Source organism: Homo sapiens, chromosome 3 (genome assembly GCF_000001405.40).
Source record: "Homo sapiens chromosome 3, GRCh38.p14 Primary Assembly".
NCBI lineage: Eukaryota > Metazoa > Chordata > Mammalia > Primates > Hominidae > Homo > Homo sapiens.
Window position 1 is genome coordinate 72,476,827 of NC_000003.12, and position 21,485 is coordinate 72,498,311.

The window sequence follows — 21,485 nt, forward strand, 5'->3', positions numbered from 1 at the left end:
GTACTATATTTAATAATACCAGGACTCCTTGAACATCATTATATGTTGAGATTGGGTTAATTTCAGCCTGGGAGATTCATAGACCCTTGGGGTTGAAGTAATGATAAGAAATGAAACAAGAGGGAAAAATTTAAGTTCTAGCCCAGTGGTTTTCAAATTCTGAAGTGCATGTGAATCAACTGGGGATCTTGTATTAAAATGCAGATTTTGTTTCAGTCAGGCTGGGGTTGGATTTTAGCATCAGCATTTTTAATAAGCTCCCAGGTGACATCAATGCTGCTGGTCTAGAGAGCACATTTTGAGATGGAAAGTTCTGGAATGAGGGACAGGCAGTAGGAAAGAAGTCAGGAGATCTGTGGTTTTCTTTTCCACAGGTTCTGCCTCAAAGTCACCAAGAGACTTTGGATAAGTTACTTCACCCCTCAGAACCCTAGATTTCTCATCCAAAAATAGGGCCGTGGGATTGGTCTAGATCAGAGATGACAAATACCTAATCCTTGTCACTGCTCTCTCAGATGCTGTGGGAAGACAGAAGAGCCTGGAGGCAGGATTGTAGTAATTTCTGGTCCTCCAGCCCAAAAAATGCAGGCTGTATCTTCAGAAAGCATTCCAGTTAATTGTAAATTGTCACATACTGCAAACTGTGACCCTGGATCTGATTGTCAAAGCAATTAGGTTTCAAGAGAGTTGGACATTCTCAAAGTGCTAGTGGATGCATTTTGATGGGGAAAGAAGTTGCCACAATAAGAGAGCCTGAAGCACCAAGAGCCACTTTGATAAGAAAGATGCCAAAAGGGAAGGAAGGAGTCTAGCAGGAGATTGGCAGGGGACCCACAGGGGACAGACTCAACCCATTTGATAATGTACGAGTCCTTGGGTCATCATCTGAAACCTTGGTTTTCCTGTGATGTGAGCTTCAGACCCCAAAACCTGGATTCCTACTAGAGAAAGACCACCTGCCACCACCCAAGCAGGAGAAGAAAGGAGACCCTGCTATGGGCAGAGCCCGGAGCTGCCTCCTACCCACATTCTCCCTTCAGGGCCCAGGTATCCTATCCAGGCCTGACCGATGCTGGGGCTGTGCTCCTGGGACTTCCCAGTGGGCTCCTGTGCCCCACTGCCTGGAGTCATGCTCCACCATCTCCTAATCTCATGGGAGGCCGTTCATGGGCAGAAACCTTGAGAGTCACGTGGCTGGCACTGCTTTCAGATTTTCAAGGTTTAGGGAGATATTCCCAGAGAAAAAAATACATATTCTTAGGCACACTGTGTCAAGGCATCATGCTAACGACTCTCACTTTTATCTCATTCAAGCACCAAAATGCTGCAAATTTAGTGTTATTATTCCTGTTTTATAGATGAGGAAACTGAGGCTCAGAGAGATAAACTCCTCCAGCTCATGCAGCTCAAATGTAGATGACCTGGCATTTGACTCCAAATCTGATGCTCATCACATTTAATATTACCTCACTGCCTCCCGACCCAGCACTTGGAAAGAATCCACAGAAGCTGAAATTGAGTAAGATTGATGAAACAGAGTGAATTTCATTTCATCTCTCTAGTTCAGGACAAAACAGATGCCCAACACTTTGGAATAGTCCTTGCAGTTCTTGTAATTTTTTTTTTTTTTTTTTTGTAACGTGGCCTAGCTCTTCTGTCTCCAGGTGGTGGCAACCTGACCTTGGGGTTCCCGAGTTACAAATAGATGACACAGAGAAGGTGCCTGGGACCCTGATTCTGCCTCTTGAGTGGGGTCTAGTTCCTTCTGGATACAAACTGTGGATGCCCCTAGCAACTTTCTTGTGGACAATCCCCCAAACCGTGCACTCAATTCAATCAAACACATTTTGAGAAATACAAGCTGCCAGACCCTGAGGCAGGTGCTGAGAGGCAGATACAGGTGAACAAGGCAGATGAGGCCCCCTCTCTGGGGCTGATCTTCTGGTTGGGGCATGGCGGGGCAGGGGAGCTGGTCACAAACAAGACATTTCATGTGTAAGGCATATGATGAAAGGGAGCACACAAGGACCCAACCTCAGCAGGCAGCTCAGAAGACCAAATGGATTGAATTAAACTTAATCAACCTTTCCCTGCCTAGAGGAACTTAAACCAAACGAGAGGGCAAGCCATTTCTGCCACCTGAAGCCAGAGCTGCCCTGCCTCTCATTTGAAGAAACACTCTCTACTGAGGTTGCAATAAATTCCCCTTCAACTTGGCTAACTGCTGATATGCAGAGCCTCTCTCCACCTGGACAGAGAAGCACCAGGCGTTTACACATGTGTGCACACCTGCACACGCACACAGATGCACAGCCTACTGCATGCTCAAGGTCATATTTCACATACTTCCTCCCCACAGGCGAAGCTGAGTGGATGAGGTTTCCTTCAGAGTTTGCCCTGGAAATGCTGTTAATGTAACGTATTTTAAAACCATGTCCTTTGTTCTTAGGGGAACATACTAAGATATTAACAGTGGTAGATCTGGGTGGGAGAAGTATGGGGGAATGGCTTTTCTTAATTTTTTTTAACTCCCAATTATTTCTATTTTATAGCTTTTCCATAAAGAGTGTGGGTCACCTGTGAAATACAAAAATTTAAAGAAAAATAAGATTTATCTTGCTACACTACAGCTGCTTTTTAATTCCCATTTGCCCTGGAAGACAAGCAGGCATAAGGTGTCTTTGTGGCTTCATGGCAGCTGTGAGGTATGATGGAAAGGACACTAAACTAGGAACCACAACACAGTTCCCAGCCCTGCAGACCTTTTTAACTTTGGGACTTCGGAGACGTCACTTAACTTCTTCAAGCCTTCATTTTCTCATCTGCAGCATGGGGCAGTAATTACTCTGAGGAGATGAAATTGGTGCACAAATGTCAAGTGGGAATATTAGTATAATTATTTACATAACTGAAAATTGGCCAATGTTATACTCATGTACAAAGAAGAAAAAACAATGGTTCTGAGAATTATAGCATAGAGGAAGTGGCCCTTGTCAGATGGCCCCAAATGATTCCCACCTCCTGGTATTCATGCCCTTGATAGTGTCCTCCCATGGTGAGGAAGGCTGACCCATGTAACCAATAGGATGTTGCAGAAATTAGAGCACGTGACTTCTGAGGCTGAGAAATATGGTTTGGCTCTGTGTCACCACCTAAATCTCATCTCGAATTGTAATTGTTGAGGGAGGGATCTGGTGGGAAGGGATTGGATCATGGGGGTGATTTCCCCCATGCTGTTCTCATGATAGTGAGTGAATTCTCATGAGATCTGATGGTTTAAAAGCATTTGGCAATTCCCCCCTCTCTCTCTTTCTCCTGCTGCCATGTAAGACTTGCCTTGCTTCCCCTTTACCTTCTGCCATGATTGTAAGTTTCCTGAGGCCTCCCTACCCATGTGGAACTGAGACAATTAAACCTCTTTTCTTTATAAATTACCCAGTCTCAGGCAGTTCTTTATAGCAGTGTGAAAACTGACTAATACAAATACGTTGTGACTCTGCCTTATATTCTCTTGGGTTATTCATTCTAGAGGAAGCCAGCTGCCATGTCATGAGGACACTCCAGTGGCCCTATGGAGGGGTCCTGCAAGTAAGGACCAGAGGCCTCCCTGTCAACCTGCCAGCAGGTGTGAGCCATCTTGGAAGCAGATTCTCCAGCCCAGATCTTCAGATGACCACAGGCCCAGGTGACCTCCTGACTGCAACCCCAAGCCACAACCATGCAATGAGCCACTCCCTCTTTCCTGCCTACCATAAACTGTGTGAGAGAATAAACTGTGAGTGTATTGTCACTTTGGGCTATTTAACTGAGCAGAAATCTGTTATGCTGCAATAGATAATCAACCCTTCAGCTTTGGAGCCATCTAGGAAGGTTTAGGGACCAGCATGGCTTTGGGAGGAGCAATTCATTCCAAGCCAATTTAATTTCCTCTCATGATGAAGTGACCTGGCATGCGGATAAGGGAGCAATAAGTGTATCTCCTCGCCTCTGGAGGGCTTTTAATTCAATACCACATGCCACTCTCATCAACATGCAGGGAGGCAGGGTCTGGGCAGTGGTTCATTGATTTGGCCCTAGGAGAATACACGTAGGAGCTCATCCAGGACTTGAGGGAGGGGAAGGAATATGGATATTTCTGTGATCTGAATGTGTCCCCCAAAATTCATGTGTTGGAAACTTGATCCTTAATGCAATAGTGTTGGGAGGTGGAACCTTTGGGGAGGTGTTTAGATCAGGAGGGCTCTGCCTTCATGAATGGATCAATGCTATCACAAAAGGGCCTGATGGAGGCAGTTTGGTTCTTTTTTTGCCTTTCCTTCTGCCTTCTGCGTGGGAGGGCACAGCATTCAAGACACCATCTTAGAAGCAGAGACTGGGCCCTCACCAGACACAAAACCTGCCAGTTCCTTGATGTTGGACTTATCAGAATCCAGAACTGTGAGAAATAAATTGATAAATTACCCAATTTGTGGTATTTTGTTATAGCAGCACAAACAGACTAAGATAGATACTAATACTAATACAATACCAACATCAAAACTGCTAGCAGGCTGGGCATGGGGTTCACACCTGTAATCCCAGCACTTTGGGAGGTCAAGGCAGGCAGATCTCTTGAGGCCAGGAGTTTGAGACCAGCCTGGCCAACATGGTGAAACACTGTCTCTACTGAAAATATAGCCAGGCATGGTGGTGTGTGCCTGTAACCCTGAGTAATCTTGGGAGTCTGAGGCACAAGAATCGCTTGAACCCAGGAGGCAGAGGTTGTAGTGAGCCGAGATCCTGCCACTGCCCTCCAGCCTGGGTGATAGAGCAAGATTCTGCCTTTAAAAAAAAAAAAAATGCTGCTAGCAATGCACTTCACTAATACTCATTTTACACTGCTAATACTTGTCACCCAGAAAACCTCCCTCCTGGAGAGCCCCAGGTTCTTCAGAACTCAGTAATCACTCTTTAACAAACAAAGAAAATGGTTTCAGCCCCACTGCAGCACTCTGACACATCTTCAAAAACTCCACAGATTTCCAGAAAGACATACCTTCTCCTGGTCAGTGGGGGTTACGCCCTCGGTCACCACTGTCATCTGGTCCTTAGCCATCATCCTCTGTTCCTGAAGCTGCCATTCTCTCTCCCCATCTCTGTTACCCCTGGACCACCTCACATCTGCCATGCCTCATAGCATCATGAACACAAAGCTGGTTCCCAAAAGTGTTTGTGGATAACGGAAGGGGTATTGCAGTCCTGCATATCTGGTCAATTACAGGAACACAGCATCCTGGTTCTTGGCTGGGTGCAGCGGCTCACATCTGTAATCCCAGCACTTTGGGAGGCAGGTGGATCACTTTAGGTTAGGAGTTTGAGACCAGCCTGGCCAACACGGTGAAACCCTGTCTCTACTAAAAATACAAAAAATTAGCCGGGTGTGGTGGTGCACACCTATAATCCCAGGCACTTGGGAGGCTAAGGCAGGAGGATCACTTGAACCTGGGAGGTGGAGGTTGCAGTGAGCCAGGATGGCACTGCTGCACTCCAGCCAGGGTGACAGAGCGAGGCTCTATCTCAAAATATTTTAAAAAGTAAAAAATAAATAAAAATAAAAAAAGCAATATAGCATCCTGGTTCTTGAGTTTTCTGGACTGTCCCTACACCGGGGGCTTCTCTTGCTCTAGAGATGTCCTTGCTAATCATTGCTCTCCTGAGCTGCCTCTGTTTTTCTCTGGACCCTCTCCTCTCAATCCCTTCCTGCTTCCCATCTCTGTGGCCTTGGCTTCTTCTTAACAAGCTTGCCACCCCCAACTTCAAATTCCTGTCAATTTGTTGTAAACAAGCTACCTCTGTTTGTGTCTTGCCTTTTCCCACCAGGGAGGTATAGACATGGTTAAAGACACGGCCTCTGGCACTGGAAGGCCTCCTTTTCACTCCCAGCTAGGCATTCTTCAAATCCTTCCTATCCCTATTTTACAGCTGACAAAACTGACTTCCGGGGGATTTGGTTTTGCTCAAGGACCCAGGGTCCTTCAGGGGTAGGTAGGAAAGATCTGGGACAACTCCCAGGCCTCTTCCAGGCAGAAGGAGAAGTAGGTTGGAGAATGCTAGTTGAGGGCACCTGCAAAAGCTAAATCAAGACTGCCTGAAGCTTAGGAGGAAGGAAATGTGTGTAGATTTAGTTCCTAGAGGGCTTATAAATAGGACCATTGCTCATTTGTCCTGAAAAGTCGCTGGGCAACCTTCCCGAGGTGAGGGGTGGGGGCGGGGCCACATGCCCTCCTGAGGTCATTTCTAGCTTGATGATTCACACGGCAAAATCCCAGCGTGGGTTCAGCGCCCCTCCCCGCACCCGCCCCGTGTACTTTCATTTTGCATTATGATTTTTCACTCAAGCTGATGCGAACCCAAATTGATGTCATTTCCCTCCCAATAAGCTCTTGACCAGAAAACATCTAATTCTCCATCTAGCTGGGATTTTTTTTTTTTCACTCAGTTTCTATAAAATCATGCTGCAGTTTGCCTCGATATTTTCTTCTCTTTTAAAGATAGCATTTGTCAAGGCTTATCTTCTGGTCGTAAAACTAATATATATGCTCACTGCAAAAGAATCTGGAACACAAGAGGCCTGAAAGAAGAAAATAAAAATTATATATAGCATCACACACGTAGACAAACAGGAAAGATCATAGTATGTTTTCTTTCTGTCTTCCCCTTGTATATATATCTTTAACATAATTAGATCAAATGCTTTTTTAAAAATCTATTTAAGAGTGAGAGGGAAGAATCATAGATTCTGGCTTCAGCAGAACATGTGTTTTAATAGGTTATATTTATTGAGGGCTGAAAATGTTCTAGGCACTTTACTCAGTGTGTATTGGTGGAATGTCAGCCATTTATGTTCATTGCTTTTCAAAATCCTCACAACAGCCCCTGAGAAAGATATTACTATCATGCCCATTTTACAGGTGAGGAAGCTGAGGCTCTGAGACGTCCCAAGAACAGCTGGTTCATAAAGCAGCTGGGATTAATTTTAATTAAAGTCATCTTGCTTCCACAGGCTGGGCTCTTAAACTTTTTATTTATTTATTTATTTATTTATTTATTTATTTATTTATTTACTTTTCATAGAGACAGGGTCTCACTGTGTTGCCCAGGCTGGTCTCGAACTCCTGGGCTCAAGCAATCCCCCCAACTTGGCCTCCGAAAGTGCTGAGACTACAAGTGTGAGCCACCACACCTGGCCAGCTATTAACCTTTATAGTATGTATAGAGTTTGTCACTTCATAGGGATAAGTGCTTCAATTGGGAATGCCATGAAGGCAACACTGGCCTGCTTCTCATGTAACTAAGAATTTTTTTTTTTTTTTTTGAGACAGGGTCTCACTCTGTCGCCCAGGCTGGAGTGCAGCGGTACAATCTCGGCTCACTGTAATCTCCACTTCCCAAGTTCAAGCGATTCTCATGCCTCAGCCTCCTGAGTAGCTGGGACTACAGGCACACACCATCACACCTGGCTAATTTTTGTATTTTTTGGTAGAAACGGGGTTGCACCATGTTGGCCAGGCTGGTCTCGAACTCCTGACCTCAAGTGATTCACCCACCTCAGCCTCCCAAAGTGCTGGGATTACAGGCACGAGCCACCTCACCGAGCCTGTAACTGGGAATATTTTAATCAAAGCACAACATACTCGTGGAACAAAGATCATGCTCCATTCTGACCTTCTGCAACCCTTTGCTTTAAAGAATATATAGGGAGAAAGGAAACTGGAGGAAAAGGTCATAAGCGTACTTGCCAGTGCTACTACAAGTTTGCCCATGCCTTCCTATAAGTGTTGCTATTTTAGTGCTTGATGGACATCTAAAGTGTCCCTGGGCATGGGGGAGCTGAGAGGTGCTGGGGCTCAGCACAGATGCTGTAAAGTGACTGCTCATTCTTTCTGTGGCCATTCATTGACTACCTACCGTGTGTCTCTCAGGCACAGTGCTCAGCATGTACTCCAAATGTAATCTGTATAAAACCAGCATGCCCATGGGGTCGGCTTCAAAGTGTTGAAGTGATATCATAATGTATTAGTCATTCTCATAAAGTATGCTCATAAAGACATACCTGAGACTGGGTAATTTATAAAGGAAAGAGGTTTAATTGACTCACAGTTCCACATGGCTGGGGAGGCCTCACAGTCATGGCGGAAGGTGGATGAGCAGCAAAGTCACGCCTTACATGGTGGCAAGCAAGAGGGCTTGTGTAGGGAAACTTCCCTTTATAAAACCATCAGATCAGGCTGGGTGCAGTGGCTCACGCCTGTAATCCCAGCACTTTGGGAGGCTGAAACGGGTGGATCATTTGAGGTCAGGAGTTCAAGACTGGCCTGGCCAACATGGTGAAACCCTGTCTCTACCAAAGATACAAAAAATAAGCCAGACGTGGTGGCACATGCCTATAATCCTAGCTACTCAGGAGGCTGAGGCATGAAAATCACTTGAACCCAGGAGGTTACAGTGAGCCAAGATCACGTCACTGCACTCCAGCCTGGGTGACAGAGTGAAACCCTGTCTCAAAAAAAAAAAAAAAAAACCATCAGATCTCGTGATACTTACTAACTACCTCAAGAACAGTATAGGGGAACCACCCCCATGATTCAATTATCACTACCTGGCCCCATCCTTGATACACGGGGATACAGAGATACAGCCAAACCATATCACATAATTCACACACACATACATACCACACACACCGTGTATCTGGAGGTGAAACATTATTTCAAAACAGCTCAAAATATTATACTGGCTCTATCTGTCAGGATGCTTTGATTGTAAGCAACAGAAACTGCCTCTACTGATCTAGGCAGAACGGGAATTTCTTGGAAGGATATTAGAGAGCACACTAGAGCAAAGGAATGGCTAAAAAGTCAGGCTTGGAGCCATTAGGCACCCAGCCTCTCCAGGAGGTTCTTGGCAGCAGAAAATGCTCAACAATCTCACTGAGCTGCTGTGGCTGGAATGAGAACACTCCAAGTGTTCTCTGCTTTGGGCCTGAATCCATGATTGAGATTTCAGGGAGGGAGTCCCCATTGGCCTTGCTGGCAGTCATGCACTGGGGAGGAAGGGCTGGCCTGGCTAACCATTCCACTAGACAATTTGGAAGATGGACCAGCAGCTGGGCAGATGACAAACAACGAAGGTCTTTGCATTTCTTGAGAATGATGACAGCCAACCACTGAGGCTGTGACAACACTTATAAAAAAAATCCCCCTTTCTCTTCTATCCATTTCTCTCACACGCTGAAGCTGCTCCACAGGATTTCTCCCTACAGTTATACGCAAACCTCACCCAACATCCACTCTTTTATACCCCGGCTGTGCAAAATGTATTCAGAGAACCAGCAGCATTTATAATCTCCAAATGTAATCTGTATAAAGCCAGCGTGCCCATGGGTTCAGCTTCAACATGGTGAAGTAGTATCATAATGTATTAGTCCACTCCTTACACTGCTAACAAAGACATACCTGAGACTGGGTAATTTATAGAGGAAAGAGGTTTAATTGACTTAATCTAGCAAGTTGGGAGCTTGCTAGAAATGTAGAATCTCAAACCTCACCCTAGACCTACCAAATCAGAATCTGCATTTTAACAATATCCCAGGTGGCTCTGATGCACGTGAAGTTTAAGAATCACTCATGGATACACTCTCTTCCTCTCTCCATTTCTTTTTTTTTTTTTTTTTCTTTGAGACAGGGTCTCACTCCTTTGCCCCAGCTGTAGTGCAGTGGTGCAATCATGGCTCACTGCAGCCTTGACCTCCCTGGGCTCCGGTGATCCTCCCACCTCAGCCTCCTGAATAGCTGGGACCACAGGCATGCGCCACCATACCTAGCTAATTTTTATCTTTCTTGTAGAAATAGGGTTTTGCCATGTTGCCCAGGCTGGTCTCAAACTCCTGGGCTCAAGTGATTTGCCTGCTTAGTCCTCCCAAAGTGCTGGGACTACAAGTGTAGAGCCACCGTGCCGGCCTTCCATTCCTTAATTATACAGATCAATCTAGTCTCTCACCAGCCTAAACAAATCCTTCCTCTGTAGCAAGAGGAAAGAGATGGGCTATCAATGACAAGGTTGCCTCTGGTGGGGTGATAGAAGAAATGTGAACATTTGCAGGCTCATAATTGTCTTGTAAACAAGGGTAAAGCAGACACAGTCTGTGACCTCAGCGAGCTCAGGTTCTGGAGGGAAAAGCTGGTCAGCCGGTCCAAATGGATATTGAGGTCTTCCAAGGCAGCATGGCATGGTTCTCAGGGCTAAACTGACTCTAGAACCGCTTGCTCTAGGGGAGGATCCTGGGGACAGAGGGACGGAATGGTAAATTAAGTTTCATTGGGCTGCACAGATCAGTTTGGAAGTCCTGTGGTCCTTTGAGTCCTCTCTGAAATGCAATGCTAGACAACAGTGCCAGGGTACTCAGGGTTGGTCTGTCTCCTCCTCCAAGAGAGCAAAGAAGGAACCAGGCCCAGGGACTCACCCAGAGGGGGCTTGGGAGCCAGTAAAATGAAAAACGTTGAATGTAGAGTTCCGAACGGTCTGGAATCCAGGTATTAATCTGTTGGTCCGTCATCATATTGGTCTTTGCAACATACAAACAAATCAAGCACGAGATTTCCCCCAAAGTTAGCAAGCTCCTGTGAGTCATTTCTCAGGAACTTGGTGGCAGACACTTGGCTGAAGGCAGCTGTGAGGAGGAATGTCCGTGGAGGGGGGTGGGGGGCGGTGGTGGCCACAGTCACGGGAGTGGCTGTGTGGGCGTGACTGTAGCTGGGACTGCTGGGCTATGAAGCTGTGGCTGTGTCTGTAGCTGGGGGTGGGGCTGTGGCCATGGCTGTGGCCACCAGCCTCACAGCAGTAGCCATAACAAAAGGAGGAGCTGCTGACTGGCCTCATCTCAGTGACCACATGGCATCATTCAAAGATTCGTGCTCCTGGTCCCTCAACGCAGGTAGAACTTTTGGCAGAGTCGGGGGAAACTGAGCTAAAGGCAGTGACAGGTTGTACCTACTTGGGCCATGGACCCTGAGGAACCTGAAAAAGATGAGGGAAGAGGTCCCTATCACACACTTTGGTGTTTTGTGGCTGCTGGTGGCAGTGGGGTCTGGCATGAGGGTGACCTGCAACCACACGCACCCAGCTCCTAGGTTCCTGGAGCTGACAGCGTCTGTGGCAGAGGGGCTTGACATGAGGATGCTGTCCCCAACTCCTCTGGTCCTACCCAACATTTTCCTGCAAGGTGGCCCTAACCAACCCCACCCGCATCATTCAAATCCGTGCTTGAAGGGACAACACCATCTCACCCTCTTCCTCATTTTCCATCTTTCTCAGTCCTTGCTGTTCACAGAATAGTCTCCTCTCTTCATCAGCCAGAAACAAACAAAATGCCTGTGCGAACCGATGCTGTGGTTTCACCAGCTTGGTCCTTCCACAAACAGCAAAACTCAGAGTTCAGTTTAGGTGCCTTCCCATCACCCCTACTAGAACACTTTGTCTCAGTAGCCACTGAGTTAACAGTTGTGAAAGCTTTTAGAGAAAGATACATTCTTGTGCTCTTGAAAGAGTATGATTTACATTTCTTTGACATTCTCCAGTTTCAAAAGCCACTTGCAAATGCCAGTACTTCGAAGCTTTATTTCTGTACCTACAAAGAAAGGCACCTCTCATAAAAGAGCTTTTTAAACCATGGCACTTTAGGAAGGTAGAACCTAAGAGGCACAAAACCATAATGATAAACAAACAAATCGGTTTGTGAAGTAGCTCAGGCCATGGTCCCTACTATTCTAGGGCCTCTTCATCTATGCTGATGGCGTAAGTTTACTGAGCATTTATTTGGTGTCAGGTACTCTTCTAAGCACCTTACCTGAATCATCTCATGTGATACTTACAGGAACTCTAGAACTCTAGACCAGTGATTTTCCTTTCTTTTTTTTTTAAGAGACAGGGTTGCTCGCTCTGTCACCCAGGCTGGAGTCCAGTGGCGTGGTCGTGACTCACTGTAACCTCAAATTCTTGGACTCAAGTGATTCTCTTGCCTCAGCCTCCCAAGTAGCTAGGACTACAGATGTGAGCCCCCGTGCCTGGCTAATTTTTAATTTTCATGTAGAGACAAGATCTCCCTATGTTGCCCAGTCTGGCCTCAAGTGATCCTCCCACCTCGGCCTCCCAAGTCACTGGGATTATAGGCATGAGCCACTGTGCTAGACCAGAGATTTTCAATTAGGGGTTATTTTGCCCCTTACGCAGGGGATATTTGGCAATGTCTGGAGACATTTTTGTGTGGTACAACTAGGGGGGATGCTATTGGCATTAAGTGCGTAGAGGCCGGGGATGCTGCTTAAACAACCTATGGTTCTTGGGACGGCCCCACACCAAAGAATTATCCAGGCCCTACTGCAATAGTGTCCAGGTTGAGAAGTCCTGCTCTCAGAGATAGGGATTATTATTCACCCCATTTTCCAGATGAAGACACAGAAGTACAGAGAGGTACTTCAAGATACTTAGGTTTATAAGCAAATATAATCAGCAAAAATGAGTGTTGGCAAAAGATTGAGAAAAGTTTGCCAATATATATATTTTTAATTTTTTATTTTTTCGAGACAGAGTCTCCCTGTCACCCAGGCTGGAGTGCAGTGGCCTGATCTCAGCTCACCGCATCCTCCACCTCCTGGGTTGATTCTCTGCCTCTGCCTCCCAAGTAGCTGGGATTACAGGCGTGCACCACCCACACCCAACTAATTTTTGTATTTTTAGTAGAGACAGGGTTTCACTATATTGGCCAGGCTGGTCTCAAACTCCTGACCACAAGTGACCCACCCACCTTGGCTTCCCAAAGTGCTGGGATTACAGGCATGAACCACCACACCTGGCCAAGTTTGCCAATATTTGGAATGAACTAAGAGTAGGAGGAAAAGAGAAGCCATTCGTTCTATCTCTGTTCTGTAATTTTCTGTTTTTGTATAACATTAATCTGTGGATCCTACTGAACTGACACATTGCAACAGCTCATGCGCAGTGGGGAGCTGTCCTAGACGCTTGTAGTGGCTGTAGCGACACTGCTTTCTAAACTCATTGCTTGCCTCCTCTTGACTATCACTCTGTTTTCCAATTTCACTGCCGCACTCCTCATTCTCTTCTCAATTTGCAACCTGTCCTTCCACTCTGTTAGGTCCATTTGTGATAGTTCAGTGTGTGAAGGAGGGAGGCCCCTGCCCTCTCGACCCAGCGCTTTCTCATATTAGACAGCCCGCATCTGTCTGGGAGGTTGTGGCGGATGGGGTAGGTGACCAGCTGTCTCCAGGTCTCTCCTGGGTAAAACCTCAGAATCATTGCAAATATTAGCTGACAGCCTATACAAGGAACGGGGCCAAAAGGAATTAAAAAGAGGATAAGCCTCCTTCCATATGGACTAGGATGAAAAAATGCTCACGATATTTTCAGTAAAAAAGCCAAGTACAAAACTGAATGTATTGATGATGATTTGTTAAAAGCTTTGCACTTTTGGATGTTCCTTTTACTAAATGAACATGCATTACTTTTATCGGAAATAAACAATACTTATTTTAGCAATAATGTTTTCTAAAAACAAACAAACAAACAAACAAAAAACACACAACAGCCAGGCACGGTGGATCACGCCTGTAATCCCAGCACTTTGGGAGGCCAAGGTGGGCAGATTATTTGAGGTCAGGAGTTCGAGACCAGCCTGCTCAACAAGGCGAAACCCTGTCTCTACTAAAAAACACAAAACTTGGCCGGGCACGGTGGCGTGTGCCTGTAGTCCCAGCGACTCAGGAGGCTGAGGGAGGAGAATCGCTTGAACCGGGAGGCGGAGGTTGCAGTGAGCTGAGATGGCACCACTGCACTCCAAGCTGGACAACAAAGTGAGACTCTGTCTCAAAAAACAAAAAAAAGAAAAAACAGGCAAAATTAATCTGGTGACCAGGACTGACTGGGAAGAGGCACCAGGGAGCCCTCTGGGGTGGCTTGAGAAGGACTGCCAGTTCCCTCTTGACTTCATCACCCAGCTCGCCACCCAGAGGGCTCCACATTTGCATAAACTACTCAGCAAAACAAACGCCCTTGGAAGTGACAGGAACCTGTGTTTCTAGAAGGCAGTTAAGCCACAATTTATTGGCACTCAAGCGTGCTGCTCCCTTGGGGTCTCACCCCCCAACCCCAAAACCATACTTACCTCCACTTCCAGAGGAGTTCTCATCATTACAATTGTATGGGGATCCCATTTCACCAACCTTATGCCTACAGTAATTTTGCTTCCCACTTTAAACCGTACCTCTTTGCCATGTCCCAGCTCTAGGGCTGAGCCAGCAGGCTTATTGCCTAAGGGAAGGAGAACAAGCAGAGAATAAAGAGGCCATTGATCAGCATTAGCGTCTCCAGGCTGACATTCTTGACCTCTGCGGAGGGACAAGGGCCTTGAAAGCAAGGCTTTATGGAGGAGAAAAGGTATTTCTCAACTCCTCAGATCCCTTCTAGCAAAGTCAAGCTGACAGCTCTAAGGAGATCTTCCCAATCAGAGTGTCTCACCACCCCCTGAGAGATTTGATAACCTCTGCCCTTGGAGCAGCCTGGCACGATCTGGACAGGTGGGGATCTCATTAGTCTTCTGGTATAGCCTCCACTGAGGTTCCAGATCCCCTCTTGGCCATGCAGCACATCATGCCCTTATTATTTTATATGTGTGCCACTCCATGAAAAAGGTGTTGGCCAGGCACAGTGGCTCATGCCTGTAATCCCAGCACTTTGGGAGGCCGAGGCGAGTGGATCACTTGAGGTCAGGAGTTTGAGGCCAGTCTGGCAAACATGGCAAAACCCTATCTCTACTAAACATGCAAAAATTATCTGAGCATGGTGGCACATGCCTGTAATCCCGGCTACTCGGGAGGCTGAGGCAGGAGAATTGCTTGAACTCAGGAGGTGGAGGTTGCAGTGAGCCGAGATCCCGTCACTGCACTCCAGCTTGGGCAACAGAGCGAGACTCTATCTCAAAAAAGAAAAAAAGAAAAAAGAAAAGAAAAAGGTGTCAAAGAACTGACCTAGATCCTTGAGTTTTGCCATTTGCAGAAATGCCCCAAACATGCTCATGCTGCCCTGGGAGGATGGTGGAAAGAAGGAAAATCTCAAGGGCCACTCATAAGGTCAGATGTCTTTAGGGAGTGGGGAGATTTAGAATCATCCAAGAAGTGACGGGGAAAATTTGAGAACATCAAGGTAAGTGGATCACATCACAGGGCACTGCGTGAGGAAGTCTGCCAGCCATGGGGGACCTCACCTCTGGTTAAGCACCATGTATCCCCAGGCCCAAAGCAATGGCACACAGGTGGTGGCAAGAATGTGGATAGAGGAATCTGAGAAAGATGGCTTGGCCCTCCATGGCCTGTGCATGGACTGTGGGGGACACCAAATTTCCCAGGGGCCTGGGCTGGGTCCAGGGAGATGCCAAAAGAACGCTGGCCTGTGATCAGGATGAACAGGCTGACACAGGCAGGGAATGCAAGGCCAGAAGCAAATGACCTGGAATCTGGTTGCTGGCCAGGGCCTGCCCCAGCCCATGGGATGCCTTTGTGCAAATTAGAAAAAGGCTTGCTCTTCTGACTCACACAGCCCCATGGGCTTGTGGCTTGGCTAGCAAAGCACTGGCTAGATTTCAGCTCTTCTGTGGACACCCTCATGGAGGGCGTAACTCTCACAGCACTTAGACATGACACTCATTCCAGGACATCACTACAAAAATCTGGGTGGAATGATAGTCCCCAGCCAGTCCAGGGAGTCTCTCAGAACAGCCATTCCTCACAGCCTGGGCGGATTCTGTTTCCCCTTCCACTTCCCAGTTTTACCCCAAATTCGCACATTCCTAAGTACCATCATGAAAGGATGGGGGGGGGGGTTGGGAGGAGATGAGAATTGGGAGGTGGGATTCAGAGCTCTGACTGCACTTCTCCCCCTCCTCAGTCACCTAATGACTGAGTGATCTCAGAGATTGGATAAGATTAGCCAGGTGTGGTGGTGTGCACTGACTACTTGGAAGGCTGAGGCAGGAGGATCGCTTGAGTCCAGGAGGTCGAGGCTGCAGTGAGCTGTAGTTGGGCCACTGCACTCCAGCCTGGGTGACAGAGTGAGGCTCTGTCTAAAAATAATAATAAAAATAATTAGAAAATAAGCTACATTTTCTTTCGTTTTTTCTTTTTTTTTTTTTCGAGATGGAGTCTCATTCTGCCTCCCAGGCTGGAGTGCAGTGGCAAGATCTCAGCTCACTGCAAGCTCCATCTCCCAGGTTCAAGTGATTCTCCACCTCAGCCTCCCAAGTAGCTGGGATTACAGGTGTGCGCCACCATGTCTGGCTAATTTTTGTATTTTTAGTAGAGACAGGGTCTCACCATGTTGGCCAGCCTGGTCTTGAACTCCTGACCTCAAATGATCCACCCGCCTCGGCCTCCCAAAGTGCTGGGATTACAGGCATGAGCCACTGTGCCCAGCCAGAAGCTACATTTTCTTTGCATATATAAGCATTGGGCAAATAAAGCCACATCCCTGCTAAACAATTTTCTCCCTCTTCTTACATTTTTTGGGAGGTGTAGGTACCTCTTACAGATAGAATGGGTGGCTGAATGCTGTTGTTTGTCCTGGAACTGTCCTAGATTTTGCTGATTTTCAGGATTATTATTAATAGCAACCCCCCCCACCAGCTTTCAGAAATGCCTCAGTACGGATAATATGGTCACCTATTAATAATGATACATCAGATGTTAGGTCTGCCTGCACAGCCCTTCCTTCTAGCTCAGGTTAACACCAAGGAAGAAGGGCAATGGCTGGGCGTGGTGGCACACACCTGTAATCCCAGCACTTTGGGATGCCAAGGTGGGCAGATCATTTGAGGTCAGGAGTTCGAGATCAGCCTGGCCAACATGGTCAAACCCTATCTCTACCAAAAATACACAAATTAGCCAGGCACCTGTAATCTCAGCTACCTGGGAGGCTGAGGTGGGAGAATTGTTTGAACCAGGGAGGCTGAGGTTGCAGTGAGCCAAGATCGCACCACTGCACTCCAACCTGGGTGACAGAGAGATACTCCATCTCAAAAAAAAAAAAAAAAAAAAAAAAAGTATAAGCACGGTGATGAAGCTTAGAAAGAAGAGTGATCCCTCTGGGCTGGAGAATCCAAGCTTAAGGATGAATTTGATGTGAATTTTGAGGGAGAATGATTTGGAGAAGAAAAGAGTAAGCTTTTGTAGACAGGAGAGTGTATGTATTAATTTCCAATTGCTGCATAACAAATTACTGCAAAACTTAGGAGCTTAAAACAAAAATAAATATGACCCCCCACAGTTTCTACAGATAGCGAATTTGAAAGTGGCTTGGCTGGATGGCTCTGGCTCAGGGTTGCTCACGAGATTGTGGTCACGCTGTTGGCCGGAGCTGTGCTGAGCTAAGGCTTGTCTGGGGCTAGATCTGCTTTCATGCTGGCTCACTGGGGTGGCTGGTGGCAGAGCCTCTCACCACATGGACCTCTCTGCAGGCTGCTTGAGCTTCCTCACAACATGGCAGCTGGCCTCCCCCAGAGCAAGGGATTCAAGGGAGAGCAGGGTGGAAGCTGCAATGACTTTCATGACTTAGCTTTGGAAGGCACACTCCATTGTTTCTATAACATTCCATTTATTACATAAGTCAGCCCTATACAAACTGTGAATAGAAAGAGGTGGGGCTTGTTGGGGACCATCACGGAGGCTGGCTCCCACACTGGGTGTCGCTAAGGCACAGAGGCAGATATAGGGAGCATGTGCTCAGAGAACAAGTGATTGAGCAGTTCGTCTGGAATGTTTAGTGACTTCCCTCCATCCTCAGCCCCAGCCAGTCCTCTCTAGCCTAAGTCCAGTCATCCAGTCTTGGAGAACAGTGACCCACTGGCACATTTGGCAAAATGAGCATTTACAAGTTCTTTCCATTGCTGAACTCTAGAGCAAAGTGTGAGGAAACATTTTGTTTCTGCCAGCATGAGAAATGGACTGTATAGGAAGCACATTGTTGCCTTATCTGGGAGATTAAGATTACCACTTTTAAAAAGTCTACTCCAGAAAAAAAATACCATTAAAAAACAATCATTTTAAATTCATTTTCACTTTCGACTTGAAGGCATTTTTCTCATTTTAAAAAATGATGTATGGCTTATGTAAGTTTTACAGGATGAAAAAGCATTAAGGAAAAATACACCCTGCACCGAGTTGCTGTCATTCTCCTCTAATACCTGACTCTTCTGAAACAAATGAAGATGAGGCTGAGTTTCTGGGAGTCTGTGGTCCTGCTGAGGAATGAAATGCAGCTAAGGTTGGGCCGACAGCATCCACTGCGGTTCCTGGCTGCCTGGCTCCTGGTGAGATCAGCATTTTAAGCAGGTTCAGGTAAGATCTGGGACACTTGGGTTTTGGAGTCACAACCGATCTTTGTTTTACTCTGTGATCCTGGGAATAGTAGCCCTTTTCTGGATTTTTCTCCACCCTTAGCTAATGTGTTAACAATGTGTTGTATCCTTGTCTTAAGTATTGTAGTGTTATCACTTAAAACTGCCTCGGATGTCCTTTTAGAGAGCAGTTCCTCCATGTATGACATTTTATTTAACAATTATTCCTTGTTAAATTCCAACGGATACTGTGAGACACATGGCAGATACAGCCCTGCCCACAGGGACCTTCCATTCTGGTGGGCAAAGAAAGGAATACTGAAATTTCATCTACAGAGAATCCACCCCAAGGTGAGCCCGCTATCTCTAAGACTTTCAGGCGGCACTAGAGTGAACTAACTAGAAGGAAGACTGGATAGAGATACTAGATAAAGAGATAAACACCAAATAAATGCAACAAATGGCCAAAAGGTCTAGAACCGTTTACATCTTAGATATCTGTATAATTTACCTCTCTTTCCCCATGTGTATAACAAATAAATGATATCAACTATTTGAGCTCTTAGAAATACATCCTTTCCACATTTACAAAGCTCAGAGAGTGAGTGCTCTCTATATGCCAGGCCTGGGGCTGATGGCCTCACATATTTTATCTCTGTTAACATATTTATCTCCCAACACACCTAGGGTAGGTCTTCTTTTTAATCCCCATTTCACAGATGAGGAAACTGCAGCTCCAAGTCAGTGTGGTGCATTCAAGATCACCCCAGTTAGTAAGCAACAGAACTGGGATTGAAATCCTGTGGATCTGAAACTCTCAACTACCACTGTGTTAGTGCCAGTTACAACTTTTGGCTTTTAGTTGCCTATGGAGTCTATTTTGACATTAGCCAGAACTGAAATTTAGTTGTAGCTCCTATGAACTGCAACGGCAAACTGAAAAAGAGGAAAGAAAACAGCTTGAAACCTGTTTCAGACCCTGCATGAGGCACAGAACGAAGTCAGCGGAAATGAGAAGCCAGCTGGATTCTGCAAGTACTCAAGTGAGCGGGGGGGCAATGGGAACCAACTTAATTGGATGATTATTTCAATTATCTAATTAAGAAAGATTACAGCTGAACAAAGACAGAAAGGGCCTCCAAGGTGATTTAAAAAAATAAAGTATCATAAAAAGTTGATTAGCTGGGTTGGCCCTTGGAGGAATTGGGAGGTTAAAGGGACTTCCCATTGGAGGCCCTGGCCCTTGGGACAGTTAGTCACCAAGGGCCTCTCCTCTCTCTTCTCTTCCCTCCCCAGTTGAAAGCTATCTGTCTGCCACCTTAGCTACTACTTAAGACTCAAATGGTCAGTAGCCTCCTTCCTTCCTCCCTCCCTTCCTCCCTTCATTCTTTCCTTCCTTCCTTTCCTTCTTCCTTTTTCCTTCCTCTTTGTTTCTGTATTCACTTAGCAAACAAGCAAAAAGCAAAAAACAGTCAAGATTTCCTTCCACAGTTTAGGACAGCAGTTATAATCTAGTTACTGCCTCCTCCCCACCTCCATGCCTGGCTCGCATCTCTTTTAAAAATATATAAATTATTTGCCAGTGTTTAAAAATCAAGGGTTTCACATAAAAGTCTAGATCTCTGGTTTTATTAGAAAAATCAGATCTGATAACACTGGTTCAACCTTCCCAGAGGTCTGACTCCAAATCTTTAACACTGCGTATGGCCTGGCATTGTCCAATCAGAACAGATGTCAGGCAGGAACCACCAGGGTGGACAAGTCCGTGTATCCTGGCTGGAGTTTGGGACCTCTGCCCCTTCAGATGGGCCATGTGCTCTCCAACTCCCAAGGTCTCCATCTGTCCTTTTTCCTTCTTGACACTGAGGTGAAGGTCACCTGCCATTTATCATCACACTTACTTGACCAATTTACATTAAGGAGGGAGGAGATTGTTTCCTTGGCTTCGCCTTTGACCCTCAGTCATCTGCCTGACTGGAGTTGGCTTGGAGCTTATGATCCTTGGTTCAAGGAGCCAAAAGCTTTTATTCCTTATACAAATTTAACAAATATTGGTTGAGGGACTTCACTGTGCCATGTGTTCCAGCAGAGCTATTAAGAACCAGGCTGTAAGGCCGGGTGCAGTGGCTAATGCCTGTTATCCAGCACTTTGGGAGGCCAAGGTGGGTGGATCACCTGAGGTCAGTAGTTTGAGACCAGCCTGGCCAACATGGAGAAACCCCATCTCTACTAAAAATACAAAAATTAGCCGGGCATGGTGGTGCACACCTGTGATCCCAGCTACACGGGAGGCTGAGGCAGGAGAATTGCTTGAACCCAGGAGGTGGAGGTTACAGTGAGCTGAGATGGCGCCATTGCACTCCAGCTTGGGCAACAAGAGTGAAACTCCGTCTCAGAGCCAGGAAGTAGAGTCAACAGTTCTGGACTCAAATCTTGACTCTGTCACTTACTAACTATGTGACATTACTCAATTTCCTGATTTCTAAATGAGGGAGAATACTTATTTTCTTTATAATACGGTTGAAAGGATTCCATGAGAAAGCATAAAAAAGGGCTTTGCGTAGTACCTGATGCAGAGTAAACACTCAATAAACGTCCATCAGTTTTGGGAATTAGGACTAGCTAATCATCATCTGTATCTACAATATGATAAGCGCTGTGCTATGCACCCATGTGTGTTATTCCACCCAATTCTTATGAAATCTCTAGAGACATCTTAGCTTGTTTTGTGCTAAGATATCTCTGCGCTAAGATATCTCTTGTGCTAAGATATTTATGAGTTACCCACCTGCAACTGGGTAACTCATAAAAAACGGAAATTTATTTCTTATAGTTCTGGAGGCTGGGAAGTCCAAGGTCAAGGTACTGAGGGCCTGGTCTTCACTTTCTTTCTTTCTTTTTTTTTTTTCTTGAGATGGAGTCTCGCTCTGTTGCCCAGGCTGGAGTGCCGTGGCGCGATCTCAGCTCACTGTAAGCTCCACCTCCCGGGTTCACGCCATTCTCCTGCCTCAGCCTCCTGAGTAGCTGGGACTGCAGGTGCCTGCCACCA

General features: G+C 46.2%; 5 annotated features.

Moving 5' to 3' along the window:
* Window positions 5,683-6,183: an enhancer, noted in NCBI's record as "H3K27ac-H3K4me1 hESC enhancer chr3:72531660-72532160 (GRCh37/hg19 assembly coordinates)". NCBI's record gives its function as "activates a minimal SCP1, AML or CMV promoter by ChIP-STARR-seq in primed H9 embryonic stem cells {active_cell/tissue: H9 hESC(primed)}" and the evidence as "EXISTENCE:reporter gene assay evidence [ECO:0000049][PMID:30033119]".
* Window positions 10,350-10,867: an enhancer, noted in NCBI's record as "H3K27ac-H3K4me1 hESC enhancer chr3:72536327-72536844 (GRCh37/hg19 assembly coordinates)". NCBI's record gives its function as "activates a minimal SCP1, AML or CMV promoter by ChIP-STARR-seq in primed H9 embryonic stem cells {active_cell/tissue: H9 hESC(primed)}" and the evidence as "EXISTENCE:reporter gene assay evidence [ECO:0000049][PMID:30033119]".
* Window positions 10,868-11,385: an enhancer, noted in NCBI's record as "H3K27ac-H3K4me1 hESC enhancer chr3:72536845-72537362 (GRCh37/hg19 assembly coordinates)". NCBI's record gives its function as "activates a minimal SCP1, AML or CMV promoter by ChIP-STARR-seq in naive H9 embryonic stem cells {active_cell/tissue: H9 hESC(naive)}" and the evidence as "EXISTENCE:reporter gene assay evidence [ECO:0000049][PMID:30033119]".
* Window positions 13,283-13,987: an enhancer, noted in NCBI's record as "NANOG-H3K4me1 hESC enhancer chr3:72539260-72539964 (GRCh37/hg19 assembly coordinates)". NCBI's record gives its function as "activates a minimal SCP1, AML or CMV promoter by ChIP-STARR-seq in naive H9 embryonic stem cells {active_cell/tissue: H9 hESC(naive)}" and the evidence as "EXISTENCE:reporter gene assay evidence [ECO:0000049][PMID:30033119]".
* Window positions 15,501-16,005: an enhancer, noted in NCBI's record as "H3K27ac-H3K4me1 hESC enhancer chr3:72541478-72541982 (GRCh37/hg19 assembly coordinates)". NCBI's record gives its function as "activates a minimal SCP1, AML or CMV promoter by ChIP-STARR-seq in naive H9 embryonic stem cells {active_cell/tissue: H9 hESC(naive)}" and the evidence as "EXISTENCE:reporter gene assay evidence [ECO:0000049][PMID:30033119]".